A 10777-nucleotide genomic window follows, 5' to 3' on the forward strand; every position below is an offset into this window, starting at 1 on the left:
CAACACTGACGAGGCAGCGGGTGGGCCGGGGCAGTGCACAGGGAGGGCTTGCTAACTCTCGTGGGCTTGCCCTGAGTCTCGCGAGTGCCAGCATTGCCCCGCCCTTGGATGGGCTCCTGCTTTCCAGCGTCTCACCGTCCCACTGTCCTACCGTCCCAGTGTCCCAGCGCTTCTATTAAACCAGCTGCTCTCGCCAGCTTGCCTCGTGCCGCCCCCTCCCCTTTGCCCTCCAAATGCATTTCTCCAAAGTCCTCTTAAATTTGTCTCACACTGCATGGATAAGACTGCATGGGCCTGGAGAAAATGGAGCCATACACGGTTACAGCATGCCAGGAAGAGCTGAGGACGGCCCTGGGTGGGGCAGCTGACCCATGCAGCCTCTTAGAGAATGCTTAGAAACCAGAAATAAGCTCAGAAACTAACAGGACAACCACACATCCGTTAGGTTTTATCAAGAAGACACTCCCATCCTGAGTCTATGACCTGAACAGCTGTGTTGTTAGCAAGTTGGAAAGAAAAAGGGTGCCACGGCTTTAGGATCATATTAAAGGCCATGAAGCCGCTGAGTACTTTCCATATCACAAGCATTTGTACCATGAAATCATGGATTCAGCAATGACTGCTGAGAAAAGATGGGAAAATGTACACAAAGAGACAGGTCATAGTTTACATTTCCACAAAATAAGTAAATTTGTATTTAGTTGTTACTGAGGTTTGTTTGTGTCTGGTAATAAGTTCAGAATCTTTTATCTCATTAGGAAATCTATCAGGCAACAAAGGTGTATGGGGGAACCATATGCTGTGGGAATTACCGAAGAGATCAAAAGCACAGTGCTGGAGGTGCTTAAGCACTACCTGAGAGAATCAGACATGGTCATAAAGTTTTCAAAGGACAATTTACAAGCAAGGTATTTGAAGATAAGAAGATGTTTTTCTATTTTTTGGAGCCTAAAGAGAAATGAAAAAAATTGCAAGTAACTAAATAACTCCCCCAAAAAAGTAAGCTGAGAATCAGCAGCTTACTCACGTCTGGACTTATCTGTTAGAGGAGTGACTTAGAAGAAAGGCTTGGGATGAGGGGAATGAGGCAGCCTCATACACAGCTCTCAGCCCTGGAAGTGAAGCAGGCACCGTCCTACCTTGTCTGTTTCTTCCATTTCGCTTCCACCTGCCCACACACCTCTGGGAGTTAGGATTGCCTGCCTTCCGCTTTTCTCCATTGCAGTCCACCATGAATAATGTGTGGGGCTAACCTCCAGAAAACATCAATTCTGTTAAAATTCTGCCAGGTCTTCTCTACTTTTATTTGAGGTTAAATGTCAGGGTCTTATTTATCCTCAAATATCTCCAGTGTCTATTATAATGTCTGCTACTTAAGTGCTCAGTCTTTAACTTGTAAAATGGATCCATTATCTTCTATAGGTAGGTGAAGGTCCAGTTTCATAATTTAGTTCTCAAAGCACTCAGTTTGATTCCTTCATCCTGTCTTTTATTATCACCTCTGTCCACCTTCTTGTATATATTTAGATTCAGTCCATCCACCAACTCTCTGTTGGGTTTCCTGTCTCCCCCTCACACCTTTCCTCCAGCTACTCTACACACCTGAATCCCTTCTCCTCACCTGCCTTCTCCAACCCTAAAGTCATATGTCACCTTCCCTGATCACCTCAGCATATTCTTTGTTCTTTTTTGAACCCACGCGTGTGCCATCCACTCACATAATTCAGAGTACAAGATACTCTGAATTATAATTAGGTGTGTGTAGGGCAAGGATTGCATTTTCCTTAGCCCCAATGCAGTAATTACACATAATAAGAATTCAATAAGCATTTGTTGAATAAATACATGACAGCATAGCATCCTTTCCCCCTCGCTGCCAGGAAAGAAATATCACAATGTTAGCAATCATGTGTAACTTACAACAATAGAAAAGGAAGAAGAGAGACAAGTCAGATGGGGGAGCTTAATGACTGCACTTGGCTTTACCCATTTTTCCATACCATCCACAGCCATCCCTCACATACCCTTCTCTGTCCAACAGCCCCTACACTGGTGGATACAGACACCTGCTCACCAGACATAAAATACACATCACGATATGCAACATATTAAAGACAACAACAAAGTTTATGGCAAGCACTAAGTGAAATCATCCTAATGGGGTTTTCTGATCCCAAGCAGCCTGCAAATCGGATTTTATTCTATTTTTTGCCTCTAAGTGAGCTCGCCATCATTCCAGGAGGCATCTCAGTAAGCAATAATGCTTACATGCTTGCATTTAGGGACACCTGATAGTGGCACTATTCTTCAGAAATCTCGGAATTTCTAAAAAAGGACAATGCATTGATTCAATGAATTCTTAAAAATGCTTCTTCAGGAATTGTTTCAATTATTATATGGGGACATTTGTCGAGGATTTCTGATGGGTTGAAATTGAAAGGCAAAGAATACATTGCTACCAAAAAAATTGCACTGGTCCTGACTGGAGGCTGGGTATGGAAATAAATGGAAGGTGTACACTGAGAGAACATCAATGGTGACTAAATTGGGGTTTTATGGCATAAGTGAATAAAGGAACATAAAATAAGGCAATAGTTCAATAGAGTGGTATTAATTAGGAATGTGGGGGAATAGAATTAAAGGGACTACTGTTAACTCACACTTATGTTCTGGATCACCTCCCACAAACCTACATCCTGTCCAAGAAAGGACTGCCCATTGTGTAAGTGAATGAGAGTTTTAGTCCCTGAGTGACCCTCAAGTCTCCTTGTCACTTAATTCTGTACTCGATGTGCCGCTAGAAGAACCCTGCCCATTTCCTAACTATGCAATTCAATCATACAGTAATTGTTGATTTTTTAAGCAGTGAAAGAACCTTGTCTAAAATCTAGTTTAAATAAAACTGTTAGCATTTTAATATATTAATACTAGAACTAGATCAAATTCATTACTCTATCGTTTATATGAATCAAAAGACCATTTATTTATCTGCTTGAGATTCTCTTGCTAGAGTGTTGTTACATAGCTATGAAATGATTCCAAACACTAACATCGCTTCGTGAATGATGTATGTTTTTCTGTAATAAGAACTTGGAGTGTATTCCTTCCTCCCTTTGAAAATGTGACCTCTTATCAGATCCCATATGTGAGAACTTGGAGTGAACTCCCCCTTCTCTTCAGGACTATGACTTCAGACCTTATCAGACACCACATATGAGTTATTGACCCTGAACCACTAATTAGACTTCACTTTCCCCAGAAGTCTGCTTCTATTCTAATTGAGTAACTTGACTTTATAAAGTTTGGAGCCCATACCTATGTGGTTAATGCACCTCATCTATCCAGTGTATTCCAGGTGAGGTTTCTTCATGTTATTCTCCCCCTCTTTAAGCATTATGAACCTAAGAAAAAAGTTTCTCTTTGACCAGATACCATGTGATTCATGAAATCATATCATACCTTGGTCATCTCCCTATTTTCACCATACAGACCAAATGTTTTCAGGCAGAAACTGTGGAAGGCTCTGTTAATGTCATATATTTGTTTGGCGGCTGAAGGGCTGCTGAAAATCTGGCTGTATGGGTTGAAGAGGTTTTTTGCACACACCAAGATGAAGCAAGTGGTCCGTGCATTGTCTTTGTTTGCCTTTGCAGCTCCACTATTATATATAAACAACAACAACAACAACAAATTTATAAAGGTAGATGGGCAATTGAGGAGCTTCCTTTCATTCAGCCATCTGGCCCTAAGAGATGCCTCTTTACTGTGGGCAATGAACAGGCCACAGATGAGGTCTAAATGCTAACTCTACTTGGAAGTAAAAGCAATGAGTGTTGATATTTGGTGAATATAGGAACAACTCCATTTATCTACACAGTGTTTTCAATTCCTTATCTAAGTGTGTCATGGAAACTAAATATTCTTTCTATTCCCATTAAAGATAGGAAAAGCTAGGAATTCTTAACCTAATAAATGTTTTCAACTTTGAAATTTGGGGGTACACATGCAGGTTTGTTACATGAGTATACTGCATGATGCTGAGGTTTGGGGTACAAATGATCCTGTCACCTAGGTGGTGAGCACAGTACCCAATAGGAAGTTTTTCAGCCATTGTCCCCCTTCCTGCCTCCCCCTTCTTGTAGTCCCCAGTGTCTTTTGTTCCCATCTTTATGTCTGTGTATATCCAGTCTTGAGCTGCTGCTTATAAGTGAGACATGCAGTATTTGGTTTTCTATTTCTGCATCGATTTTCATAAGATAATGAACCCCAGCTGCATCCATGTTTCTGCAAAGAACATCAGTTCATTCTTTTTTACTTAGCCCAGTAATTCTGTAACACATACAACACTTGGAATTAATTGATTAAAAAAGAAAGCCCACATCACCCACCCCGATTTAATGTTATTGCATAGGAAGTCTAGTGTGTTGTGAGGAAATGTGGGAGATTATTCCAGTCAGATCCAAGCAGAAAATGACTCTTTCTAATCAAACAGGTGATAAGTGTTTCATCATCTATCATTACATTGTAAAGAAGGCTGGTGTCACTGTAGAGAAAGAAGCTGCTATAGAGAACAGTGATGCAGCCACAGGACAGAGAGAGGCAGAGAGTAGGGCCTCCTGCAGCCATTTTCATCAACAAGTCCATGAGGCACCATCACCTCACAGAACATTCTGGAGGAAAGACATCTCCTGGAGAAATCTCTTGAAAAAGACTCAGGACTTCAAGACTGCACTTTGGGGCAAGTACATAAAAAGAGACCGAAGAATTATCTGTGATGAAAAAGACATTATCACGAGGAAAAATCAGAAGAATTGGCTTGGAAGAGAACAATCTGCAGCACAAGGAAGGGCGCCAGAGGAGGTGCATGTGTTCTCCTTGTCACGTGGCTCAGGGCCAGTGACACGACCTTCGTGAGGAAGAGCTGCAGATGTGCATCCAAACCCACTGCATCTTCTTTACAGTTTGTTGTGTGTAAATAATAGATATGACTTCCTTTACCAGCTTGTGCATCAAAAGAGGTCACACAGCTTTTACTTTTTTTAAATGAAGCACTTGTACCTCCACATATCCTTTTTAAATTTAAGAGACAGAGTCACTCTGTTACCCATGCTGAAGTGCAGTGGTTCCATCATAGCTCACTGGAGTCTCAAACTTTGCTCAAGTGATCCCCCCCACCTCATCCTCACGAGTAGCTAGGACTACAGGCATGTGCCACCATACCCAACTAATTTTATTTTATGTAGAGATGGAGTCTCCCTGTGCTGCCCAGGCTGGTCTCAAACTCCTGGCCTCAAGTGATCCTCCTGCCTCCGTCTCCCAAAGTGCTGGATTATAGGTGTGGGCCAATGTGCCTGGCACCCATACTCTTATTAATAGGAGGCCTAAGCATCCTCTTGGGGAGAGAGACTCCCCAAGCTGTCCCCAGTCCCCTCTCCTGCCCCAGAGAACCTGCCCCTTCCTTGGAATCAATTAATTCCAAGGGTGAGTGCATTGCTTTGTCATGCCTTTCCCACATAGCGAACTCCCAAGGTTTTACTCATCCTTCATGAATTATTTCATCTTCCTTCAAGAATTCTGATGTCCAGCACCTATTTTAGGTTGATCCTTCCTAAGCAATGCAGTTACTTTTGATGCCTAGTGTGCAGAAAGAAAAAAAAGGGGTGAGAGGCACCTCAGGTGTCTCTGCCTTGAAGAGTGTGATATTCCTCTCCTGGTACCTGAGCATGTATCAATACAGGCATAGGCTGCAGACAGCGATCCATGACTGTCTGTGCAGAGGGCTCCTGTGGAGCCGATGGGCCCTGGAATGATTATCCTTCCAAAAAGAAAAAGTGAGTGAGAAAGAAGAGAAGCAAGACAGTGGTTGTATCAGTGGGACCTTGGGCAGTTTGCTCCAGCAGCCCAGGGCTCTTAGCCACTGGCATGTGGCAGTGCTTCCTCTGTCTCTGAACATGTGGGCCTGCCAACAATCACTAGGAAAGCACAGAACCACAAGGCTGGTCCCTTCCATTCTCATGACAGAATTAATAGAGGTCATGGAAGGTGAGGTAACGAAAGCACCACAAAGTTCCTCACTCTTTAGGCCCTACTTAAGGTCATGAGTTTTTCATGTTTGCTGTTTTGTCATGTTACTATTGAAGATCAGAGAAAACCCACATTTTGGTGTTCTGACTGAAGAATGAGAAGCTGTAACTGGATGTCATCCTTGTCAATCATCTTGGATAGGAAATGAGATCTGGGAAGATAAAAGGGATCAGGCCCTTTGGTGCAGCGGAGCCTGGGATGCTGATAGGCTAAACACAGAAGTATGTAGGTTGTAAAGTTTCCAGGAAGAGTGCAGAATGGGTTGCCGAGCCTAGGTCATCCAGGTAGCCTACCCACTTAAAGTCTATCAACCTCATGAGGGTAGAGATTACATCGGTCCCATTCATCCCTGTTACTCTTTCCTAGCACAGTGCCTGGAACTTGAAAAAATGCTCAATAAACAGTTGTGGAATCAGTATTTTTGTAAACTACTAAAGCATAACTGTAGGATAAAAGGGCTTTCCTAATGTTTTAGATATTCCTATGGGTGATGGAGTAATAATAGCAAACACTTATGCAAATATATTCCCATGAGTACTAAAATACAAACATCTTAAGATTCATGTCTTGAAGTTAAAGATGAAGAAACTGAGGCCCAATAAATTAAGTACATTGCCCAAGGCACACGTTGCTGGGAGGACTCAGAGCCAGGATTTAATACAAGGAGTCTGGCTCCAGTCTATGCCCTGAACCTCTATATTGCCTGCCCATAGGACCATATGACACAATGTAACCACATGACTGCATTACTTGGAGTTAGTCACAAAACTGTGTCCAGAGAACAGTGTTACAAATATCAACTGGATTCATCTAAAGTACTGACCTGTGTCTTCCCCAGTTGTTACTCCACTGGGGATCTGGCTGCCTTGGAATCCTCTACTCCTTTTGTGACATCTCTCGTCACTCTTGCCGCTTTCATTTCTGCACCTACCCCAGGCACATTCTCTTGTAATACATCGGCTCCTGCTTAGAGTCACTCTATGCCCTCCACTTGGTTGTGCTGAGGCACCACTTTCACATTTCAGCCGGAGGAGATGTGCCACAGCTTCCTGTTACTGATTTTCCTGCCTCTCAAGGTGATGGGGGAACTGGTGATGCTGGGGGATATTTGTTTTGTTTTTTGTTTTTTTTTACCAGTATTTTGCAAGTCATAGGAAAGATCCTAAATGAATTCAAAATCTAAATAATTGTTCTTTGACCACAGACACACTTAACACACTTTTCTTTCTGGTCAAAAGAAGTAGAAGATTTCCTTTGGCTAAATTGGAGTACAGAATTAAGAAATCCTTATATCTATTAGAGAAATGCAAATCAAAACCACAATGAGATAACCATCTCACACCAGTCAGAATGGCTATTATTAAAAAGTCAAAAAACAACAGATACTGACGAGGTTGTGGAGAAAAAGGAATGCTTTTTCACTGTTGGTGGGAGTGTGCTTTAACCGTTGTGGAAGACAGTGTGGCGATCCCTCAAAGATCTAGAGGTAGAAATACCATTTGACCCAGCAATTCCATTACTGGGTATATACCCAAAGGAATATAAATCATTCTATTATAATGGTACATGTATGTATATGTATGTTCTTTGCAGCACTATTCACAATAGCAAAGACATGGAATCAACCTAAATGCCCATCAATGGTAGACTGGATAAAGAAAATGTGGTACATATACACCATGGAGTATTATGCAGCCATAGAAAGGAACAAGATCATGTCCTTTGCAGGGACACAGATGGAGTTGGAAGCCATTATCCTCAGCAAACTAACACAGGAACAGAAAACCAAACACCACGTTCTTACAAGTTGGAGCTAAAGGATAAGAACACATGGGCACAATGGCAGGGAACAACACACACTGGGGCCTGTGGGCAGGTGGGAGAACATCAGGAAGAATAGCTAAAGGATGCAGGGCTTTATACCTAGGTGATGGGATGTTCTGTGCAGCAAGACACCATGGCACACATTTACCTATGTAACAAACCTGCACATCCTGCACATCTACCCCTGAACTTAAAAGTTGAAGAAAAGAAACCCTGATCAATTCTGTCATCTTATCTGGCCGGTTTTTAAAAGACAATTTAGAAAGAAAGAAAGAAAAAAACATTACTGGCTCAAACATTGTCTGTCTCCTTTGAACTCATTTCTACAGTATGATTTGATAATAAGCATGTATTTGACAAATACAAATGCATGTGATGGTAAACATAAGTAAGGCCTCCCAGGGTGGCACTGAAAATATGTGTTCTCTTGCCAAAGATGTGTAAGTTAGCAATGGACTTAACAGCTTTCTCAGGGAGGCTCTGATACAGAGGAACACAAGGCTGGAGCCCGAGGGTCAGAACTACATTGAGAAATAGCAGGTGTAATCAATATCCATGAAATGCTTCAAATACATAGTTTTGTGCAAGCACTAACAGTAATAACATTCCTAACCTAGGTGACATGTACTGTTCCTTGGGAGTTAACTGCTCACCTGCTACTCATCTCTCCAGCAGAGTGACACTTAGACATTACCTTATACTTGTATAAATAAGAAAGTCAGCCAGGGGTGGTGGCTCACACCTGTAATCCCAGCAATTTGGAAGACTGGGGAGGGAGGATTGCTTGAGGCTAGGAGTTCAAGACCAGCCTGGGCAACATAGCAAGACCCCATTTCTAAAAAGAACTTTTAAAATGTAGCCAGGTGTGGCAACACATGCCTATAGTCCCAGCCACTCAAGAAGCTAACATGAAGAATCTCTTGAACCCAGGAGTTAAAGGCTACAGTGAGCTATGATCATACCACTACACTGCAGAGTGGGAGACAAAGCAAGATACTAATTCTAAAAATAAAAATTTTTTAAAAGAGAAAAGAATCTCCTTGTGCACTAGAAGCATTAATTCCTCTTCCTGGGAAGACCAATTTACCCACAAGAACTGTGCTCACATTTCCTTTCTGTGGACTCAGAAAATAATCTTTGGAATTACAGGCTTCATACTTACTTCCTCCCTGTCCTTCTTAAACTTCTTCCTGTTTCTGAGTATGTACGAGGCTGAGCTTGGCTATCATGACTACTGAGCCTAAGAGCGGAGGCAGTTCCCTTTCTGCAAAACCATCATAAGAGACTTCACTAGACTTGAGTGTGATTTTTTAGAGTTCCAAATATTTTTCTTGAGTATCTGGAACTATTTCATATGAAGATAATTTCCATAAGTGAGTAAAAAAATGAAAAAGAAATCATGTATATTATAGTTTCATATTAAGAGATTATTTCATTCAAGTGAGATTTGTTCAAAAAGCATTAGCAAGAAAATTTATTTAATATGACTAAAATTGCAAGGGGTCAGCTTTCATCCCGGTCTTGTGCTATAATACAATAGATTTCCTGTATGCCATAAAGAAGTATCTTCATGTTATAATAGATAAAATGTTTTCATGCAATGTATAGACTTCCATCTGCATTTTTGAAAAGTCCCTTTGGGCCAGAGTCTATTATATTTTCACAGGAAAATTCCTATTGAGGCTGACTGAATTCCAGAATAATTTGAAAGCAATTAAAGTCCATCAAAGGAATGGCAATACAGTTATCCTGGAAATGAATCAGATCCAAAAAGTGTAAAACAAGCCAGTCTAGATCTTTGGAGCAGCTCTAAGAATTTTCTTAAGTTTTACTGACTCACTACAGCCACTGTTCCAGTGCAGGAAAAAGTTGTGTCACAGGCTCCGCTCAAGTTTCAGAAATGGAAAAATTTCTTCAAATTCAATAACATCATTTCCAAATGGGCATTCTGTATAACCTGAAGTGTAAAACCTCTAGTATGCTTTATCAAAACTTGATCTAAATCTGATATAGCACAAGATTTCCAATTAAAAACCTTTGCTTCTGTGTTGTTGTTTCCTAAAAGTGTTTGAAGGTTCAGTCACGTCTCACCACCTCACATCCTCAGTGAGTGCCAGGTAAGAGCTTCATACAAAAGCGCTACAGGAAAACGGCTCCACACAAAGCAAGGAAACATAAAAAAAAGAAAAGACTATTTCCTTGTACATATCCTTAGAGCTGCATTACATCATTGGTGGATAATGCCTCATCTTCTTCATAATTCTTTACGACCCAAGATTATAAACTATATTTAATAGCCTGCTTTTCATCAATCAATATTTGCTATATTCATATGTTTTAATAGAAACAAGTGGACAGCATTCTAAGGAAAATGAGGTTTTTCTAGATGTCTATTTTATAACTGTGCCATGTTGGAGTTGTTTGTGAAGACTTAAAAATCATTAATTGGAGCACTCTAATTAATTCTTTAGTTAAAATATAGAAATAAAATTTCAGAGTAATTAACTCAATAAGTTAATGACTAATATTAGGTTATGTCAACTTCATTTTCATATTAAGAAACATTCCCTTTTAAACTTTAAGCTATCAAAAAGCATGAGCCCACCCTTAATTATAATATGATACAAAATTTTGAGAAATATGCTTACTTGAGAAAATTCCAAAAAAGGACTGATAGCCTGACATTTTGAGTAACGTACTATCTTAAATGACAGAAAACTACATCCAGGATAGCTGTGTGAGGATCTCCACAGACTTGCTCCCCAGTGAAGAAAACTGTGGCAATTAAAGTAAATAAATAAATAGGTGTCTGAAAACTGTCCTAAGGGTATATAGCAAATGGAGAAACATTTACTCAAGAAAATCTACT

This window comes from Homo sapiens, chromosome 8 (genome assembly GCF_000001405.40).
Source record: "Homo sapiens chromosome 8, GRCh38.p14 Primary Assembly".
Classification (NCBI taxonomy): Eukaryota; Metazoa; Chordata; class Mammalia; order Primates; family Hominidae; genus Homo; species Homo sapiens.